The sequence below is a fragment of the Homo sapiens genome, chromosome 5 (assembly GCF_000001405.40).
Source record: "Homo sapiens chromosome 5, GRCh38.p14 Primary Assembly".
Lineage (NCBI taxonomy): Eukaryota > Metazoa > Chordata > Mammalia > Primates > Hominidae > Homo > Homo sapiens.
This window is the reverse complement of record NC_000005.10, coordinates 150,213,174-150,237,020: the sequence shown is the minus strand read 5'-3', so window position 1 is coordinate 150,237,020 and position 23,847 is coordinate 150,213,174. Positions and strand designations below refer to the sequence as shown.

Sequence of the window (23,847 nt, the reverse complement as noted above, 5' to 3'; positions counted from 1 at the left end):
CTACTCAGGAGGCTGAGGCAGGAGGATCGCTTGAGGCCAGGAGTTTAAGGCTGCAGTGACCTATGATGGTGTCTGTGAATAGCCACTACACTCCAGCCTGGGCAACATAGCAAGACCCTGTCTCTTAAAAAAAATGAATGAATGAACGAATGAGAAAATACACTATCTTGAAGAATTCCCTGGTAGGGTCAAGTCAGCATTCTAGTTTCACAAAAGTCCAGTGTTCTAACCACATTCCCAGCCCTGCCCTGTGAATTATGACCCCAGGGGCATGTGGCAGGCCAAGAAATGGTGCTTCTAAGCTGTTCCCCTTATTTGAGGCTAGCTGCCCAGTGATAAGAGTTGGGCCCTGGGATGTTGAGGAGACTGGATAGATATAGCCACATAATCCTGGCCTCAGAACAGGCAGGGACCGTGGAGGTAATCTGGCTCTGTCTTCTCCACTGGAGTCCATTTGCTGAATGACCTCAGACAACTTACTCAACCTCTCTGAGCTTCAGTTTCCTTCACAGTAAAGAGGTAATGAAAATAGTACCAACCTCAGAGGATTGCTGTGCAGATGAAATGAGAAGATGCATATGAAGTGCACATGTAGTGTTTGGCCCAGAGAAGCTATTTAATCAATCTCAATTTCTTTTTTCAAACTGTAGTTCGTGGTTGAATGACAGGAAGCCAGGTGACATTTTCTTGGAGCACCAATTTTACTCAAAGATTATTTTAAGACAAATTTAAATGTTAGAGAGAGAAATATTTGGAATACAATACCAAATTTGTATGCACTATTAATGTAAATTAGGAGCCATCAAGGACGTTTTTTCTCTTGGGGTAATGGCTTTGGGCTGCATCCCTGAGGTCTCACATTTGCCGTCATTATCCTCTGCTTTAGAGCGATCAGGATGGGGTAATTTGCAAAGTCTTGAATTTTGGCTCACTTTCCAGATTTTCCCCCTTTCCAGAGGGAAATTTGAGGCCTAGGGAGGAGAAAGGGCACATATGGCTTATTAATGGTAGGACTGGGACCCTGTTTCCTGCCTCAGTTTCCCCACATGTAAAAAACCCCAAAAGCCACGTCTGATGGAAGAAACGGTCAGCCAGGAGCTTCTCCCCGTGTTTGGCAGGAAAGAGGAGTCCTTGTGCCTCCCCCAGCCTCTCCCGGCCTCAGAGAAAATTTCCAGGGAACCGTTTTCTGGTGTTAATTTGTTAAGTCTTCTTACTAAGTGAGAATAACAGCTGGTGGGGTGGACTCTGACCTGACATTAAAGTTAATTAGAAATGTCATCCTCCAGGGAACATCGTCCCCTGAGGAGAGAAAGAGACATTAATATTTCAAAGCCCCTCTGGCTCACTGCACAGGCCTCTTGCCCTCCGAGCTGCCTGGGGCTCTGCTTCCTTCCCACTCCCCCATCCCTCCTGATTCGCTCCTTGAAAAATTAATTTCCTCTCCAACTAAAGAGCTACCTCTGCCTTGGGCAGAGACATTCTGGGAAATATCAGTCAGGAATGCTGATCCCGTTTCAGTCTTAGCATGCTGTATGATCTTGAGAGAGTGTCTTAACCTCTCTGGGGTTTGGGCTTTCCCATCTGTAGGGGAGCATTCCCGGATTGTCTGGGTGAACAGCTGGCAGATGAGAAAGGCCAGTGGTTGCTACTAAGCAGCTGCTGAATGAACACAGCAGTGGGGCTGCTGAGGGCATAGTAGAGGCCCAGAATCAGAGTGGACTTTCCAGATGTAAGAAGCACCAGGCCCCCAGATCTTCTGTCCCACAGAACAAAGCTAGGGAGATTCCTGCCCACTAGGCTTTATTGTTGGTAACTTGGTGTCCCAAGTAGCTGGAGACACAGCCAAGTCAGGCACTGTCTCAGGCTACATTAATAGAGGTATAATATCCAGAATTGGGGAGGGGATAGAGAGTGCTACCCCAGACATGATATTCTGCATTATTCAGGCCACACCTGATATTGTGTGCACGTACTCAGAGAGGTATCTAGACAGCTCCAGGACTCTCAAGGATTAAATGGCCAGCTTGAGTCAGTACCACAACCTGGAGGCCTTCAGCTCTGAGAAGAGAAGACTAGGCATAGAGGCTGGGGAAGCAGGTGTTCACTTCGGGGCCCCAGAAGGCAGAAAGAAGACAAGAACTGTATCTAGCGGGTTTTGGAAGGACAGATTTCAACTTGAAAGGAGAAGGAAGTGAAAATAGCCAGGGCAGTCCAACATTGCAGCCAGCTTCCGGGCAGGCCACAAGCCCTGGGTTCCAACCAGAGCTACACCCCCTCATATCAGGCTGCTGGGAAATATCCCTGCCCTGACTAGAGACTCCAGGATGTCCTCAGGAGGAAGTTCCAATTCAGAGATTCCCAGATGATAATAACCACACTCTCATTTCCCAAGAGCCAGGCACTGTGCTAACTTCTTTACATAATGCAGCATCCTTTACATAAGTGCTTTGATCTAAAGGACTCGGAACAGCAACTGGCTCTCTGTGAGGACCATGTACATGTTAGCTATTTCTATTGACATATTCTTAACTCAATCCTTAGAACAACTCTACAAGGTAAGTACTATTAGTATCTTCATTATACATATAGGGAAACTGAGGCACTGGAAGTTCCCTTGTCCAAGGGAACAGCTATTAAGTAAGTGGCATAGCCAGAATCCAAAGCCAGGGACTTTGGCTCCAGAATCCATGACCTCAGCCACTGTGCTAGACTCTCTGAGATGGCAGGGAGAAGCAGACCTCAGGAAACAGGCATTGAGCACAGGCTCCTGGAACGGTGAGCCAGAAGGGTCTTAAAGTCCATGCAGAGAAGGCAAGGAGAGTGACTCAGGTCTCACATCAGGAGCACGTGGGTTTGCTCTGGTTGTCACCCCTGATTCCATGTGGGAGTGGCAAGAAAGAGGTAGCTCTGGACTGGGCACAGTGGCTCACACCTGTAATCCCAGCACTTTGAGGCCAAGGCGGGCAGATCACCTGAGGCCAGGAGCTCGTGACCAGCCTGGCCAACATGGTGAAACCTCATCTCCACTACAAATACAAAAATTAGCTGGGCGTGGTGGTGCATGCCTGTAATCCCAGCTACTCAGGAGGCTGAGGCAGGAGAATCGCTTGAACCCACGAGGGGGAGGTTGCAGTGAGCTGTGATCACACCACTGCACTCCTGCCTGGACAATGCAGAGAGACCCCATCTCAAAAAAATGAAAAACAAAAAACAAACAAACAAAAACACAAACAAACAAAAGAGGTGACTGGCTGGGCTAGGCTTCTTCCCAAACTCAGTTTCCAGCTTCTGGGAAGGAGGGCACAGGTGATCAGGAAGCCAGGTTCTGGGTCTCCTAGGGACAGTGGCTACCAGGCAACTTGGGCAAGTCCAAGGGGCAGGATGAAGATAGCAGTCCAGACTCTGGTTTGGTCCCATTCACTCATTCATTCATTCACTCAACACGTATGTATTGAGTGCTGCCTCTGCCCCAGCCCCAGGAAAGTCCCCAGAGAGAGAGGTGCAGCAACACCTGTGTGACCCGGTGGCACTCATGGTCTAAAAATGGACTCATTCCCAGCCCAGGTGATTCTGACTGGAGCCAGGAGGGAGAAGGGAATTAGCTGTTCACAGTGGTGGCTGACGTTGAATGATCACTGCTACATCTACCATGTGCCAGGGGCGGTGCTGGGTGTAGTGTGGGAGAATGTGATGGGCTTTAGGGCTGCAAACTCTGATTAGGGTCCCAGCTCCACTGGAGCTAATTATTTAGCTTCTTTCACCTTCAGTTTGCTCATCTGTGACGTGGAAATAAAGTTGTGCTGTGAGGCTCTGGAACTTGGTAGACTAAGCACATAGCACATGGCCTGGTACACTTATTCATTCATTCAGTGATAAAGGCTTATGGGGCCAAGCCTGTTCCAGGCTCCAGGACGCAGTGAGCAAGGGATGTCACAGCCCAGCCCCCAAGAGCTCATCTATGAGCTGGGGCATAGATAAAGCATTCGGGCAAAACAATTGCGTGAGGTTAGTGTTAGGACAGACAGTGAGCTGGGGCCTCAGGGGCCTATGGAAAAGGCCCTGGGCGAGGAGCCAGGCTCTCCACCTGGTATGTGCCATGTCCTTGGGCAAATCACAACCCCCTCACTGGGCCTCAGTTTCCCTAAAGTTTGATAAGGAGGCTCTGGCCTCCAAGGGTTCTTCTAGCCTGGATGTTCTATGATTCTGTGTCCTCTGGGCCTGAGGTGTGCTCCTGTGTGGGGTGGTGTGGTGTGGGCAACTGGTGAGGACAGGGCTGGTGAGGGCCTCTGCTAGGCTTGGGCTCCCTCCCAGGCTTCCAGACTGAGAAATGCTGAGGCCAGGCCTGAGCTTGCAATCCTGGCAATGTGTTCATCTATTCACCTGAGACAACTCCAGTGGACCAATGAGCTGGCCAGGTTTAAAGCCAAGCTTAAGCCTGTGGAAGGAGGGAAAGGGGCCTGCCTCTGGGAGACGGAGCAAGGCTTCTGTTAGGCTCTGCCAGGAGCCAGGACACCTGGCTTCAAATTCCTCCATCACTGAGGCTCAGTCACCTTGTATGTGAATTGGGAGGAAGCTGACCTTGCCTACCTCCCAGGGTATTAGTGAAGAGCAGAGAGGCAACCCCTGGCAGGGGCCTAGGGAGGCAGGGCATGGTTGCACTTATGAGGTGCACCCACTATGTGCCAGGCTTTGGCCAATGCTTTGTGTACATCACATCACCCCACCCTCATAACAACCCTCGGAGAACACTATCATCTCCATTTCACAGACCTTCAAACCACCTTGTGGCCCGCAGTTGCACAGCTTGAGGACCTGGACAGTCATTTAAATAAACATCTGTCTAAGCTGAAGCTTGGATTCTGCTCACTATGTATTTGGCTTTGAATGAATGAGAGGTGGTGGTGTCCTCATTTTACAGATGGGAAAACTGAGGCTCAGAACATCACACATCTAATAAGACGGCCATCTAACTCCACCAGAAAGACCAGCTGTTTGTGGTGTTTCAGTGGCAGATAGGGGAGGGCCAGGTCTCAGCAAATGGGATTCATTATGCCTAGAAAGTTCTGGACAGCTCTGTGCCTAATTCCTATCGGCACCCAAATAGAGCAAGAAGCTCATCTAGGCTCAAGGGATGCGTATACCCTAAGATTTTTCTTAGTGGTGCTGGTTTTGGCCATAAGAAAGCCCCTGGCTCATGGCTATCAGTGACAGTGCCACAGTTGATCCTGTTTTGATTTACATGGCAAAGCAAAGGTGGTAGGAATAAGTATTTGGGAGCCAAGACCTGGATTTACATCAGGCGTAGATTCAGAATGTCCACCATGTATTAGAGGCAAAGACCGCCAACAGAGACACTGGCTCTGGCCTTTGTAGTTGAGGAACTTTCACACCTTTTTTTTTTTTTTTTGCCTTTCTGGGCCTCAGTTTCTTCTGTGAAATGGGGGTGATGATGCCTAGCCCCCAGCAGCAATGCGAGGATAAATGAGATCATCTGCATGAGGTCTTCAGGTCCCAGCACAGAGTCTGGCACATGATAAGGACTCAAGAAATGGTAGTTGGTGCTTCATTACCATCACTATTATTATTATTATTATTATTATTATTATTATTATTATTTCTGTGTCCCCTTCTGCCTTACAGTGCGGAAACAGGAAATTATAAAAGTGACAGAGCAGCTGATTGAAGCCATAAGCAATGGAGATTTTGAGTCCTACACGTGAGTCAGCTGGGCTCATTCTGCATGTCCTGCCTGGATTGTTGTTCAGGGGGTACCAATGGCTAACTTTGGGGGTCCTTGTCTCCGATCCTCATCCACTCACTTTGCATGTGCTGTGAATCGGGCTGAACTCATATTTCTATTTTGCATCCGGACTTGATGCTTCTATTGAGCTTTCTGTTCGCGACACTGCTCTATATGTCAGTCCTCCTCCTCCTCCCATCCTTCCTCCTCCTCACATCTTGTTCCCTGGGAGGAACTCCAACAAAACTCCCTTGCTTCCCCAAGGAAAGAGGGGGTGGACAGTATCACAGCATGGGCCTCCTCAGGAGATGAGCTGGGAAGGTGGGAAGGGAGGCACGTTCCCTTCATTCCTGCCCAGTAGGCCTGAGTGCTCACCCTAGACTCCCTTGGACCTCTGACCTCAGATGGGCAGGAGCAAGCAGGATCCACAGGGCACGTCCCTTCAGTGAGCAGGCATGAGCAGAAGTAATTCTAAGCAGAATCTGAACTCCTCTGAGAAATAAGGCAGCTTGCACAAAAATAACATAAAATGAGACATCACATACACACCTGGACTTGCCTTTGGAGGGGCAGCTGTGTGTGCATGGGCTGAGCCAGAGCACCCTGTGCTGTTCACTCACACCTTTCCTGGCCTGGCCCAGAAACAGACTTCACTTGGGCCCTCAGCTGGCCCCCGGGAGAGCAAATATTTTGGGCTTAGTCCTCAATATTTTGGCCAGTGCTGACAAGGCCTGGGCCTAGAGACCAGACATAAGCTTTTTGGAGGACAAAGACTGCCAGCCAAGGCAGAGTTATTTTTGCCTGTTGGGTTAAATTGAGTTGGGCATAACCTGGCTGGGGTTTGCTCCTTGGGCAGCCTGTTCCTGATTTCCAATGTGCCCAGAGCTGAAGTTTGCCTCTCAAAGGCTTGGCAGACCAGGTGCATTCTTTTTTTTTTCCCTTTTTTTTTTTTTTTTTTTTTTTGAGACGGAGTCTCACTCTGTCACCCAGACTATAGTGCAGTGGCACGATCTTGGCTCACTGCAACCTCCGTCTCCCGGGTTCAAGTGATTCTCCTGCCTCAGCCTCCTGAGTAGCTGGGATTACAGGTGCACGCCACCACGCCCAGCTAATTTTTGTATTTTTAGTAGAGACGGGGTTTCACCATGTTGGTCAGGCTGGTCTCGAACTCCTGGCCTCATGATCCACCCACCTCAGCCTCCCAAAGTGCTGGGATTACAGGCGTCAGCTACCGAGCCCGCCCGGCCTGCCAGGTGCATTCTAATTGTGGGAGAGTTTTCAGGAGCAGCAGGTGGCAAAGCCCCCTAGAAGGTCACTGGCTCCCTCTGGAAGAACAAGGGGCTTAGAAGATGCATGTGTGGAACTGAGGGTGATGTGTACATATGTGTATGCATGCACTTGTACACATGTGTGCACGTTTAAAACTGTGCACAAGGAGGGTGCGCAGGTGCGTGTGCATGTATATACCTGAGTGTTGCATAAAAGCATGGAAATAGGCTGTTAAGCTGGTCTTGCAACCAGTTCTAGAAAGAATGGACTTGGAATGTATCATGCCAGTGGCTCTGGAAGGACACAGCCAGGGAGTGAAGGAAAGAGAGGTGGCCCCTGTGGTCCCCAAGCTCCTCAGTGGCACTTCTGGGGGTCCTGGGGAACCCCTCCCACCTATGTGATGTCACCTCCTCTGACATCTGCAGCCTGCTCTAGGTTCTGACCCCTTGTCATGACCTCTGGGGTCCAGGATGCCCTGTGTAATCTTGAACATGTTCCTTCATCTCTCTGAGCCTCAGTTTCCCCATATGTACAATGGAGTTGGGGCAGATGGCCTCCAAGTCCCTTCACTCTAGGAGGCAGGAACACCCAGGTGCCTCCAGGGTTGGGGCTTCTTCAGTGGGGGCGCTCAGTCTCCCACATGTCCAGACCCCCACTCTTGGGGGATTCTGGAGCTGGAAGGGTCCTGGGCATCCCGTTTGGTCTGAGCACAGTCCCCCAGCCCCAGGCTTAAGCCATCTGGAGAATTTGGGGTCATGAGTAGAGAAGCAAGTTGTCTGGGGTCACCCAAACAGAAAGGACAGAGCAGGGACAGTGCACCCTGTGAATGCTTTCTCCAGCTCAGACGGTGCTGGGCCTGACACCTTCTCCTGGGTGTCTCCAATTCTACCCTGGGTTGGGAGCTTTGCTTGTCCTGGGACATTTCCTGCCCCTGGCTTCATTGCTATTGTCACAGGGGTCCATGTTATACCACAAAAGATCCCACAGACCTGGAGATGGGAAAGACAGCTTGTTCCCTTCCCCTGCCTGGCTGTCAGGATCTCCGAGAAGACTAAGACCTGGAAGGGAATAACAGCTGAAAATACACAGCCTCCGTCATGCCCTGTGCTTCTCCTCCCAGATATTACCTCATCTAATGCTATTTTTCTCATCTTACAGAAGAGGAAACTGAGGCTCACAGCCAAGGCTGCTGTTAACAATAGGGCACCTTTGTTCAAATTAGAAAACTCGCCCCTTCCAGGTATATACCTGGCTTGATGAGCAGAAGTCACTTTTATGTGAAGGAAAAGGCAGTGTCCCCCATCCCGACCCCACAGGAAGACAAATTAGAAAAAGCCCCCTCTGGATCCACTGCCCTGAACCAGGGAGTACAATTTGGAGAGTAGAGAGCAAGCTGAATTTCCTCCCCACCAGCACCTTTAGTGCACTGCACAGCCCTGTACACTATTCATGGTGCTCTTGCTTAAAGGGATTAAGCCACTTGCTTGGGGTCTCACAGCCATTGGCAGAGCCAGGGCCTGAACCCAGGCTTCCCGGATCTAGATGGCACCAACCAGTCAGTGATATCCCATACTTTATAACTTGCAAGCCCCTGGCCCCTTCCCATCTACTAACTTCAATGATCCTGTGAGGTAGGTGCAATCATTCCTATTTCACAGGCTCACCCTCCAAGGGTCCAATGAGAAGCCGCCCCAGTCCCTCTTCCCTCTGGCTTCTTTCCCCCAGGAAGATGTGCGACCCTGGCATGACAGCCTTCGAACCTGAGGCCCTGGGGAACCTGGTTGAGGGCCTGGACTTCCATCGATTCTATTTTGAAAACCGTGAGCAATTCCTTCTCTCTGTGGTGCCTGTTGTCTGCTCTCGTTCCATGTCCTGCTGGATGGCACAGCAGGGTGACGGGCAGGGCCCCAGGGGCGGCTCAGGAGCCAGCGAAGAGGAAGCTCCCGTGTGGACTGGGGTTGGTACCCTCTTGGTTCCCTCTCCTAACCCTGGCCCATCAACTACCAGCTGCCCCTCCTGTGGTTGAAGATGGGGCAGGCGAGGTCCCAGAGACCAGGGACACACAGGACAAGCCCTCCCAGGCCTCTCCTGCCCATGACCCTGGGAGGGGCCTGGGGAGGGCCTTGATTCCCATATTATAGATAAGGGAGGCTTCCCACTGACACACACACCCGAGTTACAGTCATCTTGATGCCTGGGGCCATCCCAGCTGCCCAGCTGGTCACAAGCTGGCTGGTGGGTTGTTACGCAAGTGCCCTCTGTGGGTGGGCAGTTTGGGAAAGAGGAGGACAGAGAGCTCACACTGCTGTGCCCCTGCCTGTTTGTCTAGGTCTCTGTCCTGCATGTCTGTCCTTCCTGGGCCTCTCCTTTGCAGGAGAGACCTTGGCAGCTTTGCAACCAGGAGCTTCAGGGGGTTGAGGCTGGGGCTGACCCAGGGTGCTTTCTGCCTGTGTCTGTCTTTCCCTAGGCCGGGGGTCAGATAGGGATGAACCAAAACGCACACAGGTTAGAATCATGCAGCTTAGGACAGGGAGGAAGGACCTAAGAAGTGGTATATTCAGGGTCCCCCAAATCAAGGGCGTGTACCACTGAGGCTACACAGTGATTTAGGGTGTATGTGGGCACCACTTAAAACAGCATGGGTTTGCACAGTGAGAGAGCTCTTTCCTTCTTAATTCTCTCTCAATACTCTGGCTCCATCAGGGGGAAAGACTCTGCTGGGTGCTAGCCTGTTTTCAACACCTCTCTGCCACTTTGTAATTTCCCTCTTTATCAAAGAGAAAGCAAATCTCAGGCTCAGATCTCTTTCAGGCAGGAGCATGGTGCAAGGATTATGTAACTTTCTTTCATTTTCACAGGCCTTATTATTAGAACTTTATTCATGATACTGATTGTTCATCAATGACTATGTCAATAAGTTTTCTTTTAAAATAAATCTATAGCCGGGCGCGGTGGCTCACGCATGTAATCCCAGCACTTTGGGAGGCTGAGGCGGGCAGATCACTTGAGGTCAGGAGTTTGAGACCAGCCTGGCCAATGTGGTGAAACCCCATCTCTACTAAAAATACAAAAATTAGATGGCCATGGTGGTGGGTGCCTGTAATCCCAGCTGCTCGGGAGGCTGAGGCTGCAGTGAGCCAAGATCGCACCACTGCAATCCAGCCTGGGCGACAGAGCAAGATTCAATCTCCACAAAAAAAACACAAAAAACAAAAAACCTATAGAAATTAGTAAAGTCAATCAATTCAGGAAAATCCCCCCCCCCCCTTTTTTTTTTTTGACTGAGTCTCACTCTTGCCCAGGCTGGAGTGCAGTGGCACGATCTTGGCTCACTGCAACCTCCGCCTCCTGGGTTCAAGCAATTCTCCTGCCTCAGCCTCCTGAGTAGCTGGGATTACAGGTGCCCGCCAACACACCCGGCTAATTTTTATATTTTTAGTGGAGACGGGGTTTCACCATGTTGACCAGGCTGGTCTCAAGCTCCAGACCTCAGGTGATCTGCCTGCCTCGGCCTCCCAAAGTGCTGGGATTACAGGTGTTAGCCACCAAGCCCACCCCAGGAAATACTTTAATGAAGTACGTACAGTGGCACTTGTGAATGGCAAAAATAACAAAGAAGGTACTTCAGTGACTGAAGTAGGATCTAGTCCAGCTCTTCATCATACAGAGGGGAAACTGAGACTCAGAGAGAAGTGACTTGTCTAAAGGAACCCAGGAAGCCGGTGGCAGAACCTAGACCTGACTCACCCCAGTGCCCTTTCCCTTCCCTGTAGCACCTGCTGTATCTGCACATTAGCAAACCCCACTGGGACTGACACTCCTACCCTGGCTTGCACCCTCTCTGACTGAACTTTGTAGAGTACAGAGGCCAAGGACACCCTCCAAAAAGTTGTGAAGAAGAAAACAACATCTTCCTTTAATAAATCAAATGAATTCTCCAAGGCTAACAAGGAAGATTGAATTCTCGGCCGGGTGCGGTGGCTCACGCCTGTAATCCCAGGACTTTGGGAGGTTGAGGTTGGGAGGATCACCTGAGGTCAGGAGTTCAAGACCAGTCTGGCCAACATGGTGAAACGCCATCTTTACTAAAAATACAAAAATTAGCCAGGTATGGTGGTGCACACCTGTAATCTCAGCTACTTGGGAGGCTGAGGTACGAGAATCACTTGAACCTGGGAGGCACAAGTTTCAGTAAGCTGAGATCATGCCACTGCACTCCAGCCTGGGCAACAGAGCAAGACTCCATCTAAAAAAAATAATAATAATAATAATAACAATTGAATTCTCATGCAAGGAGAGGTAGCTGGACCCCATATGTCCCTATCACCCTGGAGCTCCCTCACTGATCATGGTAGCCACCATCTTACAGTCTGTCCTCTGGGGGCACTGGTCCCCCAGTGTGAACTTACAATCCCCACAAAGCAGGGACCAGGCTAAGGCCCAACTGTAAAGGCTCAGCGATGGCAAAATTGAAATAATCACAGAGAGGAAGCCATGCAGCCCTTGGCCTGCCTCTATGCAGCGGGCCCCATCTTAGTGCTGGCCCCCAGACTCCAGGCTTAAACATCTGCTCACCTCCAAGGCTGAACCCACAAGGGCAGACCCAGAGTAAGTGCTCATTCCCGGCCAAGTTCCACCCTCCAGGGCCCTATTTTTTCCTGTCGGGGACTTGGTTCTCTCCCACCCTATGCACAGGGGTAGATATTGGAAGCCACCTATCTTTTCAAAAGACACCATGTCAGGTGGCTTTTCTTTACAAATGCCTCCTAGGACTCCAGCCCTTGCTGACTGCAGCAAGGCCCAGTGCCCCCAGCAATGCTAAGCTCTGTTTGTCCCTTCTGGGATTGTTCTAGATTGTTCTAATGCAGTCTCACTTGGAAACTGACTTTTTTTTTTTTAATTTTATCTATCCATTGTCTCTCTCTCTCTCTCTCACTTTCTCTCTCTCTCTCTCTCTCTCTCTCTCTCTCCCTACCTACCAGGTTATGAGACTGGCTATTTTTTTGTATTTTTTGTAGAGACTGGGTTTCACCTTTTTGCCCAGGCTGGTCTCAAACTCCTGGGCTCACGCAGTCCACCTGCCTCAGTCTCCTAAACTGTTGGAATTACAGGAGTGAGTCACTGCTCCCGGCCAAAACTGACTTTTAGATTCCACTGCGTTTTTTTCAGGAATTAGCCCAGCTTGGGACGAGTCAGATTGCTTCTCTGGACCTGAGTTTGCATATCTGTGGAATGGATATGTTGGTCTTGTATGCCTCCAGCCCTGAATGCTGTCAGGGACGCTTATAGAGCCCTTCTCAGATTCTATAGTTCGGCTGCTGGGTGACCTCTGACCTCTGAGGTCACTCCCAAGTCTATGACGCTGAAACCCTACATTCTGTATGTCTGAGAGCCCAAATTCAAAGTCTGTTATTCTATGGTGCCTAAGACTTGGTGATTTTAAGTCCTTATTCAAAGCCTGGGTGTAGCGTGCTTCTGATATTAGGGGATGGGTGTTATTGGATATTTTCTGCAATCCTGAAAAAAAAAGACATTTTACATTTTTCAGGAAATAAGTGGCTCACAAACCTGGCTTGGCACCAGGATCAAGTGGTAGGGAAGGAGAAGGGAGATTTTTAATATTAGAGATTCTTGAACTGGGCTCTCTAAGGGTGGGGTTGGGGAAGCTGTGTTTTAAGTCAGCACCTCACATGATTCAGACCTATATTCGGGCTACACAAAGGGAAGGGCTCCTCTCAAGCCCAAGATACAGATCACCACTGTCCAACCCCTCCCTGGGTCATTGTCTTTCTATGCTTTCATTTCCTATCTTGAGGAAAACATCGAGTTTCTAGAATTAATATAATAATAGTCCTGGAGATGCCTCATGTTTCATCTGGTGGAAGCTGGTGTCAGGGACTTTGTCAGCCCCATCATGATTCCAAGAGCTATGCATCTCTCCCTAACGCTGGAAAGTCCCATGACCTCACCCCATGACCACCAATACCATCCTTATCATTTCAAGGTTCTAAGATTCTACAATTTTCATATTCCTCCACGTTTCCACAATTCTGTATATCTACAGTAGAAGTAGATATACAGTAGAAGTAGATATACTTCAGACAGGCCCACGGGCCGTGTCTGAACTGTAGATATGTTTCACTTGGCTTGCATGATGTTTTAAATTTGAATTAGATGCCAATACTAAAAAATGAAGAGTTTTCATATAAAAATTCAGATTTCCAGATTCTCTTGAAAAACGAGGCACGTCAACACTGGTCTCACTCACATGGCAACCACCAGGGAAGCTGTGTGCAGGATGCCCTCTTTAGGTGGGACAAGACATTCTATTCGCCACAGTCCCCATCACTCCCTATCGCCTCCCTGACCCAGAGGCAAAGGGTCAGTTGTCATTTAGCATCTTATACCCAGCTCAGCCCCCGTTGTTTATGTGCCTGCCTGGTACCTGGGGGGATCCGGATTTGAGACTGTGCTCACAGCTCTTCTGGTTCTATGATCCTCTAGGCTTATTCCATGTGGCTAACGGTCATGATTCAAACATTCCATTTTCTCATGTTTGATGAATTCTGCATGTCTGAACTCCACTGTATCTAAACTAGGATGTGATGTCCCCATCATCTAGAAGTTCTACCTTGATCCCAGGTAGCTGAGTCCTGCCACACAGGCCCCTTCCCTGCAAATGAGTCAGGCAGGGCGCCTCCATTGAGAGGGCTGCTGGGAGTGGAGAAAGTGAAGAAAGTGAGACAGGAGGCCCCCGGTTGCATCTCCTCTGCCCCTCCCATCCCCTCCTCCAGTGTGGTCCCGGAACAGCAAGCCCGTGCACACCACCATCCTGAATCCCCACATCCACCTGATGGGCGACGAGTCAGCCTGCATCGCCTACATCCGCATCACGCAGTACCTGGACGCTGGCGGCATCCCACGCACCGCCCAGTCGGAGGAGACCCGTGTCTGGCACCGCCGGGATGGCAAATGGCAGATCGTCCACTTCCACAGATCTGGGGCGCCCTCCGTCCTGCCCCAGTAAGAATCCCTCCTTCCTGCCTCCCAGGGTAATGTAAAGGATGGGAGTGTTGCCCTGGAGGGGGTTACGTCGGGGAAGCTGCTGCCTTCAGCTCTGAAAGGCTGCAGAGTGGGGTGGGGAGACCCCAAGAAGGGGGCCAGGCCTGCAGGTCTGGGGGAAGAGCTGGGCAGGAGCCACCAGGGACCGCATGGACTCCATCTAAAGCGGCAGGGTGGGTGGGTTGCCCAAGCAGGAAACACCATGCCCTGAGAAGCACCCCGTGTGTGTCTTACAGCTGAGGGACCAGGCTGGGGTCGCTGCGTTGCTGTGCCGCAGAGATCCACTCTGTCCGTGGAGTGGAGCTGCTGGTTCTCCCAGGTGGATTTTGCTGGAATTCTCCCATGTCATCACCCCACCACCGTCACTTCTGTACCTGCATCAAGAAAACCTGCTTGTTCACAAAAGTCATCGCAACTTCAGAGCGAACGGCCACATCTCCCCACCTCTCACCCCCACCCTCTCCCCTGCCAGGCTGGGGCTTCCTCAGGCATGGGTGTCCACAGCACTGGCCCCCTCTCCCCAGCCTCAGCTGCTGTCCGCCTGATCTGTCTTGGGCTGTAGGCTAGAATGCCCGGGCTGGTGCCCACCAGGGGCTGGGGAGAAGGAGGGGTGGCATGATGAGGAAGGCAGCATCCGTCCGTCCCTCTCCCAGACCTCTCCTCTTCCAGTGTCCCCGGGGAAGGGCAGATGACACTCCCTTCCCCCTAAGCCAACCGCACTGAAGGAGTGGGGAGAAGAGCATACGCCAGGAGCCTCCTGCCTCAAAGTGCTCCCCTAAGTCTTCTTCCTCCTGTGCTGACCTCAGGGTGGTCTGACCCTTCCCTCGGTGTGGGGGATGTGGCCCTCTCAGGTGCCCCTACTTGCTTTCTGCTTCCTTCTGGTGAAGTCCACCTCCAACATTAACCTGCCCACCCCACCCCCGTCATCCCTGGAGAATTCCAGCTTTGTCGTATCTCAGAGAGGGAATCTAATTGTTTTTGGGGGGCAAAAGAAAGCAACGTTTAGGTATCACTTCTACTTGGACCGCATGCCTTTTTATAGCCAAATTTCTGTGTATTTCGTAAATGGATTTCGCGTTAATGGATATTTATGTAATAACTAGACTTCTCAGATTATTGTGAGAAGGGTCAGGTTGGAAGGGGTGTAGGAAGAGGGGTGAGGGGTAGTTTTTTTCTGTTCTAGTTTTTTTTTTTTTTTTTGTCATCTCTGAGGTGGACCTTGTCACCTGTGGTTATTGGGGCCAAGGTGGACTCAGCTCCGGGGAGAAGGGCCTCTCTGCCATTTCGGTCCCAAGGTGAGCTGACACAGGCGTTCCTTTTGGGACTGTGGAAGCATCAGATGCCAGCACTGACTCAGGAACAGCAAGTCAGGGCAGAGAGGAGGAGGGAGGCTGTCAGGATGGAAATACCTGGACTTTTCTTTGCTTCCCTCGCAAACTGGGGTCTTCTCTACCGAACTTCCCAGGATTTCATCTCACCATATCTGTGTGCCGCCCCCAGCACCCCCCACCCACCTCTGGGGGGCCCGTGAGCGTGTGTCTTCATTGCCTCTCTCCCCTTGGCGTCTGATGACCACAGCAAAGCACTGGGAATTTCTACTCTTCATGCCTCATCCTGCAGCCTCGGGTTCGCATTCTCTCTTTCTTTTCCTCTTTCCCTCTTTCCCTGGGATTGACTCTGAGTGGAATACCTTGGCACATCCACTAGGATCTACTGTCTGCACTGTTTTCTTTGCATGACTTTATACGCAGTAAGTATGTTGAAAACAAACAAAAAGAAGAAAACACTCAACAAAACCAATCTACATGTTTTGGACTAAAAAAAAAAATAGAGGTTGTATTCTCAGTGTCCGACTCGGAATTATGTTGCTGCCTCTCTGTGCTTTTGGCCTCTGTGTGGCCGTGTTTTGCCAGCATGAGATACTGTCCCCTCTGGAGGATTTTAGGGGAGGAAGAGCCACGTCCCCAGGGATTGGAGGAGGCTCCGGTACCCTCGACCCTCCTGGGTGTTGGTTGGAGCAGAACTGGTGAGGATGTTTGATCCGAGATTTTCTGAGCTCTCCCCAATCACCAGCTGTCTGCTGGGTTCTTTTCTCAAGTCCTGCTGCCCAGGCCCAGGTGAGACAGGCAACGCCAGGTCTGCAGGCCAGGAGAGATGCTGCCCAGGCCTCCTGGTTTCCAAGCTGGTCCATCACTGGCCTCTGTCCTTGGCAGAGACCTTGCTGCCCAGGCCCAGGGGCAGGCTCTTGGCCTGCCCCAGGCCCAGAGGGCTTCCCAGTAAGGCCCAGTGATCCCATTATCCCAGGGGCAAAACCACCTGTCCCCTTTTGAGCTGCCAGTTCCCTACAGCCATCCCCAGTCAAGGGTGAGGGTGTGGCCTTCACCAGGGGCTGCTGTAATTACCGAGCAAGGTCTGAGCTCTTCTTCAGCCTCAGTTCCCTCATTGGTTAAAAGGGTTCTTTGTTCCCATCCAGCCGATGAAGGAGCAAACGTCTGGCTATGTGAAGCCTAATTTACCTGCAGGAACTGGCAGGGATAGTCACTGGCTGGACTCCTGTTTACTTCTAGACCTGGTCAGGCTCCATCCCCTCCCCCACCTGCCCCTGATTCCCCTCGTCGGTGCCTGTCAACTGCTTTTCAGCAGTGGACTGCAGGGGAAAGAGCAGTGATTTGGGGTGAGTAGGCTTCAATTCCCAGCTCTGACCAGACTTGCTGTGTGACCTTGGGCAAGTTCCTTTCCCTCTTTGGAGCTTGGTTTCCCTGCCAGAGGAAACTGAGCTGGAGGAGCCTGAGGTCCTGCCTTTCATTGGCTGACACACCTCCTGTCCACTGTGTCACTCTCCAAGTGCCAGAGAAGTGGAGGCAGATCGCTACCCCAGGCTGAGATGGCCCCCACTGTGAAGGCCACGCCTGTGGGTGGGCAGCCACCTGGTGCCACCACAGGGCACCAGGGATGATCCTGATGTGGCAGGCAGGGGAGACTCACAGAAAAATCTGCCCAGAGCCTACCCTCACCAGACAAACTCTGTGCTCCTCCAAAACATCCTTTAGATGCAAAATAATAATAATAATAATAATAAATAAATAAATAAAAATCCAAACCCAAGTCAAAACCTTGGCTCCAGCATGAAAACACGTTTACAGGAAAGTGTTCTCCTGGGTTTGTGCCCACCATGGTGCGAATCCTGACCCAAGGCCTCCTGTCTCCCTTCAAAGGGAGACCCTTTTGGGGGATGAGTTTGCCAGACTCCCCGTGCTGGTTTCTTTGTTACTATTTGTTTGGGGTTTTGTTTTAGTTCTTTTTTTTTTTCTTTTCTTTTTTAAAAATATGTGGCTGTGAACTTGAATGAACACTGCTCAAACTTTCTGCTATTGGGGGGGGCGGGTGGGATGGGAAGAAGGGGCGTTTGTTTTATTCTTGGTGTTTTCAGTGCAATAAATAGCTACAAACTTCTGTGCACTCTGTGTGTCCCTGTCTTGGTCAAGCCCCTGAGCTGGGAGGTTTTTGTTAGTTTCCAGTTCCAGATCTGCCCCATGGCAAAATAAAAGTCCTGGTCTTCATTCTGATTGGACCAACTGTGGTCACATGCTCAAGGCTGAGCCAGTCACTGTGGGATTATGCCTGGACCACATGCCCCACCTGTAGAGCCAGGGATGGGGTCAGCTTTCTCCCAGGCACATGGGGGTACCCTCAACAAGAGCAAAGGGGTGGCTATGGGTTGCCTGAGCAGCCAAGAGCTAAAGCCTCTCTTGGGCCCTGGGGCAAGGTTCTTCTCCTCTGGGCCTCAGTTTCCCTGTACAATGTGGAGGTTATTCCACAAGTCCCCCACCCATTCTCTTCCCTCAGCCCAGCCTCACAGATGAGTGCTCAGGACTCACCATGCCAGAGAGTGCTTTAAAGAATGGGGAAGGGGAGGAAGGGTCTCTTTACCCATAAACATATGTCTGGACCTAGTGCCTGGGACACTTTGGTCCTTGGAGCCCGAGCTGCTGGCTTCTGGCAGGGCAGAGCCAAAGTGGTGATGCAGAGGCTTTGGCCACCTTCAGGCCACGGTAGAGTGGCCAACCTTCCCAGATACCTGTGTGAGATTTTCAGTGCTCAAAACAGGACAGCACCAGGCCAACCAGACAAGCTGGTCACCCATCCATTGCCCAGAGGCCTGGATGCCACGGGGCCAAGGAAAGGTGCCCATCGGAGCCCACAGTTCCCTCTAGACCATACTCCGGGTGCCTGGCACTCCAGAATCCCTGCACCAGCTGCCTTCCGGGTCTATCCTCACTGCTGGTGTGTGGAATGGCCAGGGGCAGTGTCTATAGGGAGTGTGCCCCTTGCACACAGGGGAGGACCTTCACAGTAAGAACACAGGCCAAGGCTGAGAAAAGCAAGAGAGGCTTGGGGGCTTCCATTTGCCACCTTTGCGGATGATGTTTTAAATTTGAATTAGATGCCAATAGTAAAAAATGAAGAGTTTTTTATTATTGCGGACATCACCGATGTCCTCAAGGGTTTAGTGGCAGGCGTCCTCCCAGCCCTGCCTTCACTTGCCCCAGTGGCTCCTGCCTGGCCCCTGCAGAAAGCTTTGAGGGCTTGGGTGGTCATTGTGTCCCTTCACCAGCAGGTGGCAGCACAGGAGCAGGTTTCAGGCAGTCCTTGGCCCTAGTACGTCTACCATGCCCTGTGAGATATCCTTTAACTCTCAAAAAGTACCGACTCCACTTAAAACACTATTATTATCTCACAGGAGAATGATGCTCTACAGTTCACAAAGTGCTTTCACAACACCTCTTGTCCTAGTTACAACAGTCCTATTTTGAAGATGAAAATGATGAGACTCAAAGGCAAAGAGACTTCTTGCAAGACTCTGACCAGTGCTCACCCCAGCCTTCTAACTCAGAGCACAGTGCTCTGTTCCCTCCAGGGGCCTCCCCTGCCCTGGTCGGTGCTGCCCTGTCCCTGGTCTCTGGACAGCCAGCGAGGAGTGACTGGGATTCTTAGGACCTCCTCCCCTTTTGACACTCTGTCCCCTTCCAGCTACTGTCTTCTCTCTCGGTTGTCTACACCCACAGTCTCCATACTCCAAAGGGCACTGCAGAGGGCCATTTCCCTTGCATTTTCCCACTGAGCGCACTGTGACACCTTCTCACCCTTCAGGACATGGCTCCAGCATCTTCTCTGGGAAGTTCCCTCACCCTCCCCAGCCTCCCCCGTCCCTGGGCTAGGTCCCTCCATGGGCTTCCACAATCTGCTCCACCTTCCTCACCACAGATCTCTGGTTTGAAGTCACCTAAGCAAGTTTCTGCAGAACTGTGTGCTCCTTGAAGGCAGGACAGCATCTTGTCCGTGCTCCGGATGTACGTGGCAGATACTGTCATTCTTGCATAGAGAAGACCCCTAGCAGATGTGCCCCTGGAATGAAGGAGGAGTGGAGGCTGTGTGGGCATGAGTATTCCACCCACCCAGAAATAACAACGGTTAACAGTGGGAACTGACTGAGTGCCAGGCACGCCCCACCTCTTTTATAGGTGCTCTCTCAATCTTCAGCATACCCCTCCACTGAGGGCACTACTATTCTCTTTATTCCGTTAATAAGAAGGTGCCCAGAGGAAAGGAACCCACCCAAGATGGCCCAGGGCACGAGGGAGGGAGGTGAGATTGAGGCTCTCAGCTGCTGTGAACACCTGCTTCCCACACCTGCTTCCCACACCTGCTTCCCTGGGGCATGCTGTGGCTGGGCTGGGCTCCAAGGAGGGCTCAGTGATAAGCTAGACCTGTCTCATGACTTCTGTCCCCCAAGAATCTCTGATGCCATTCCAGACAGTGAGAGACATGCAAAGAGCAAGAACTCAAGGAAGGCTGGGATGGGGGCTGGATCTGGAGGTGCAAAGTGTGCAGGAGCCCAGAGGAAGGAGAAGGAGAGATGGTGACTGGGCTGGATAAAACTTCGTGGGGTGCTTGATGGGATGGAGGCAGGGAGAGTGTGGAGGCCAGAGCAAAGGCTGGGAGCCCAGAACTGTGGCGGCAGGGTGAGCAGAACAGGCTTGGGAGGAGGCCATGGGGGCCGGAGGTGTCTAAGGGCTGAGTGAGCCCCGAATCTGCCATGATGTGGTGCCTTCTCAGGGCATGGGTTGTGCTAAATCTTTCAGGAAACATCCCCTGGCAGGTGCTGGGGGGTGTGCATAGGGCAGGGTGGGGCAGGTCCAGTCCCGTGGAAATGCCCTCTCCTTGTCCTTCCTCCTGGGACCAGCCCTGCCCTCCCTTCTCCACCCAGGGCCACCAAAGTCTCAGAGGCCACTTCCCTCAGGACGCCCTGGCCCAGCCATTCCTTCCCAGACCCAGGGCCTCAACTGGAGGTGGAGGGAGCTGGAGGGGGATGACTCCTTCCTTCCAGGAGAAAAGGGAGGACTGTCAGCATCCTCTCCCAAAGTGACCTTGGAGGAGTCACATCCCCTCTCTGGGCCTTCGTTTCCTCATATTACAATGACACTGAACCTGTGGGCCCCATATGTGAGAACTGAGCTGGCTGCTGCAGATTCACCAGGGAGTTTGCTAAACACACAGATGTTTTGGGCCCCACCCTCACAGAATAAGAGCCATTCTTCTGGGCAGGGGTCCAGGCAGCTGTAGTTTTAGTAAAAGCCCAGGTTTGGGAATTTGCATGGAGCATCCCTTCCCCCTCCCCGCATTGTCCCCACCCCGTTTCCACAGTCACAATGGCAGCCTGAAGATGCAGTTATCAGGGAGCCCCACCCCAGGCTTCCCACTTCCCTGTCCTCCCCTGACTCAGCTAGATCAATATTGACCATAGGCCCCTCCCCTGCCTCTAAGTCCTACCACCCTAAGCCCCAAAGCTCTCTGAGACCCTGACCTCGGATCAGCAGAATCAAGGTCAAGCCAGGCTTGGGACTGTGATGATTTTATTGCTGTGCCCACGCTCACCCTGTATCCCCCTACTCCTAGTGATTGGGCAGGGCATTTGGCTCACTGGAAAAACCTTCAGGGCTCTGAATCCTTAAACTCATTCTGCAAGAGAACTGAGACTTCCTTCCTACTAGGCAGAGCCAATCCCAATCCATCTCCGAAGAGGGGTGCTGCTCCCCTCCCTAGCTCCCGTGGCATGGTCCCCAGCAGAAGGCTGCATGGAGTGGGTGGGAGCAGAGAGCTCCCTTTTCCTCACCTCCCTCCACCAAGGCACCTCTGCAGAGCCCTCTGTCCTTGTTCAACCCACTTGTTTTATAGATGGGGACACTGAGGCTGGGTCCTCAGGGCACACAGATGGTGCTGGCAAGCCTGGGCCTCCAGTTTAGCCTGTCCCTGGCTCCAGGCACACCAACTCCCAGCCTCTTTCTCCCCAGGCTGGTTGGAGGTGGGAGCTGAGCCTCAGTTTCCTTATCTGTACAAGGGAGAGCTGGCTAATGAGATGCATCCCATCTAGAGGGTTCCTGCATGCCACATTTTGTGCTAAGCACTTTGATCACATTTTAAAAATATGTATTGAGCATCTAATTTATCTCATTTAATCCCCTGCCAAGGGAAAGCTATTCTCCCCTTTCACATCTGAGAACACCGGGGTTCAGAGAGGTGAAGCAGCAGATTCAGAGGGGCCATGGAGCCAGGGTTCCACTCTGACCAGCAGATGCCTAAAGCCTCCTTGGCTCCTACTGCCCACAGTTTTCTTTTCTTTTTAGAGAAGGTTCTTAGCCTGTCACTCAAGAGATCCTCCCAGCTGGGTAAGGTGGCTTAAACCTGTAATCCTAACACTTTGGAGGCTGAGACAGGAAGATTGCTTGAGCCCAGGAGTTCCAGACCAGCCTGGACAACAAAGTGAGACCCTGTCTCTACAGAAAAAAAAAAAAAAAATTGCTGGCGTGGTGGTGTACACCTGTGATCCTAGCTAGTAGGGAGGCTGAGGTGGGAGGATCGCTTGAGCCTGGGAGGTCAAGGCTGCAGTGAGCTGTGATTGTGCCATTGCACTCCGGCCTGGCTGATAGAAGGAGAACCTGTCTCAAAAAAACTCCACAAAACAACAACAACAAAAGCAATCCTCCCACCTCAGCCTCCTGAGTAGCTGAGACTACAGGCACAAACCACTAAGCCTGGCTTCTAAAAAATGTAGAGATGAGGTCTTGGTACATCGCCCAAGCTAGTCTCGAACTCTTGGCCTCAAGCGGTCCTATGGCCTCTGCCTCCTGAGCAGCTGGGATTACAGGCACCAGCCACTGAACCTGGCTCCCTGGCTGCAATTTTCTAGGGTTGCTGCTCACAGAGCCTATGGACTTGAGCAGGAAAAGGCTTTCTTTCCCAAAACAAAAAGTGATTCTGAATGGGGGTGCTGAGAAAAGGCCTCCCTGTGGCCAGAGGGGGCGGGCTGCTGCTCTGTCCTGGGGGAGAAGGCCAAGGCAGCAGGAAGTCAGGCGGAGACAGAGCAGGGGGGACTGTTGGCCAAGGATCCGCAGACGGGCAGCCAGCCCTGGATGCCCTTCCAGGGCAGGACCAGCTTCAGCGAGGACTCAGGCCCCAGAGGGAGTGGGCTGGAGCTCAAAGAACCAAACTTTCCATGAGCCACCAGCAAAAAATGAGTCTGGAGGAGCCTGTCTACCGCAGACCCTGGGGCTCAGCAACTAAGGGTCACGTGGGATTCTGAGGGGCCTGCAACTGTCTTAACTCTTTGCTGGATATCCCTAGAGCCACCCAAGAACTGTGTTCAGTTTGATGCTTCATGGTGCAAAGCTGTGAACCAGCCTTGTGGAGTCACTGGGGCGACTGAGAGATGAGGAGAGTCCAGTCTCTGTCCTGGAGGAGTTGGTAGTGGGACAGAGATGGTAGACACAAGTGTGTTCCTCCAATCAATAAATGTGTATCACATGCCCACCAAGCCAATGGGTGATGCTGCTACGTGGTAGGAGCTGTCATTGCCCACATTTTACAGGTAAAAGAATGAGAGCTTAGAGAGGTTAAGTGACTTCCCCAAGACCACACAGCCAGGGAGGAAATAAATCCAGATCAGTGTGGCTGAGCAGCCTGAGGCCTCTGCACCATGCCCTGCTGTGGCCCCAAAGCACTCTGGGGTCCAAGGAGAGTCTTCACTATGTGGAAACAAAATGCACTGTCTCAAAAGGATGTGAGTGCCCTGGGCAGGCAGGGCTGGGCTGTCAGGACTCACCAGATGTCGGGCTGAGTCAGACCCCCTGAAGATTCTAGGCGTCCACATCTGGTTAGGGAATTGAGGAAGGCTTACAGGGGAGGGTATATTTAGGAGGGACTTAAAGGATGGCTAGGATCCCAACGGGTGGGCGGGAAGACACTGGATCAAGGCGGAAGGCCCTGCCTAAGCCAAGGTTGGAAGGCAGGACAGCCGGGACCTGCTCAGGAGCATAAGCTGGGCTGGGGTGATGGACAGGAACACAGGGCTCAGGGCCCACTGAAGACCAAACACTCAGGTAACCAGTGTGACCCCTGGAGCCTGTTGACCCTCACTTGGCCTCGGGAATATGGCTGACCTAATGGTGTGGGTAGGAGCCCCTGCCCCTCCACTGCCTTCCCTCCTTCCCCGCCACAGAGACCACACGTTGGCAGTGGCTGTGTATAGCCAGGCTTCTCATCTCAGCATTTCCTGGTGCCCAAGGGCACCCTCTAACAAGCCCCAGAACAGGAATGAAGGGCCCCGGGGCAGCCTACCCCACACTCCAGCCAGGCACGTACGATGCCTCCCAAGGCTCCACACCAGCCTCCCAAGTTCAGGGGTCCATGGACACACAGGTCAGATGAGACCGGACATT

The 23,847-nt window shown here is 51.9% G+C and overlaps 1 protein-coding gene across 5 annotated transcripts in view, besides 2 other annotated features; it reads left to right on the top strand.

Moving 5' to 3' along the window:
* CAMK2A (calcium/calmodulin dependent protein kinase II alpha) overlaps nucleotides 1-17,530 on the top strand; it is a 70,640-nt gene extending 53,110 nt beyond the window's left edge. For 4 of the 5 annotated variants that reach the window (NM_001363990.1, NM_001363989.1, NM_171825.3 and 1 more), the window contains 4 exons: nucleotides 5,641-5,716; nucleotides 8,735-8,829; nucleotides 13,804-14,032; nucleotides 14,308-17,530. In NM_001363990.1, coding sequence (NP_001350919.1) covers nucleotides 5,641-5,716; nucleotides 8,735-8,829; nucleotides 13,804-14,032; nucleotides 14,308-14,311 — 404 coding nt within the window. In that variant the 3' untranslated portion in view covers nucleotides 14,312-17,530. Of the gene's footprint in view, nucleotides 1-5,640; nucleotides 5,717-8,734; nucleotides 8,830-13,803; nucleotides 14,062-14,307 lie in introns of all 5 variants that reach the window. The other variant, NM_001369025.2, reaches the window with a different exon arrangement.
* Nucleotides 8,484-9,045: an enhancer, noted in NCBI's record as "H3K4me1 hESC enhancer chr5:149607539-149608100 (GRCh37/hg19 assembly coordinates)". NCBI's record gives its function as "activates a minimal SCP1, AML or CMV promoter by ChIP-STARR-seq in primed H9 embryonic stem cells {active_cell/tissue: H9 hESC(primed)}" and the evidence as "EXISTENCE:reporter gene assay evidence [ECO:0000049][PMID:30033119]".
* Nucleotides 9,046-9,607: an enhancer, noted in NCBI's record as "H3K4me1 hESC enhancer chr5:149606977-149607538 (GRCh37/hg19 assembly coordinates)". NCBI's record gives its function as "activates a minimal SCP1, AML or CMV promoter by ChIP-STARR-seq in primed H9 embryonic stem cells {active_cell/tissue: H9 hESC(primed)}" and the evidence as "EXISTENCE:reporter gene assay evidence [ECO:0000049][PMID:30033119]".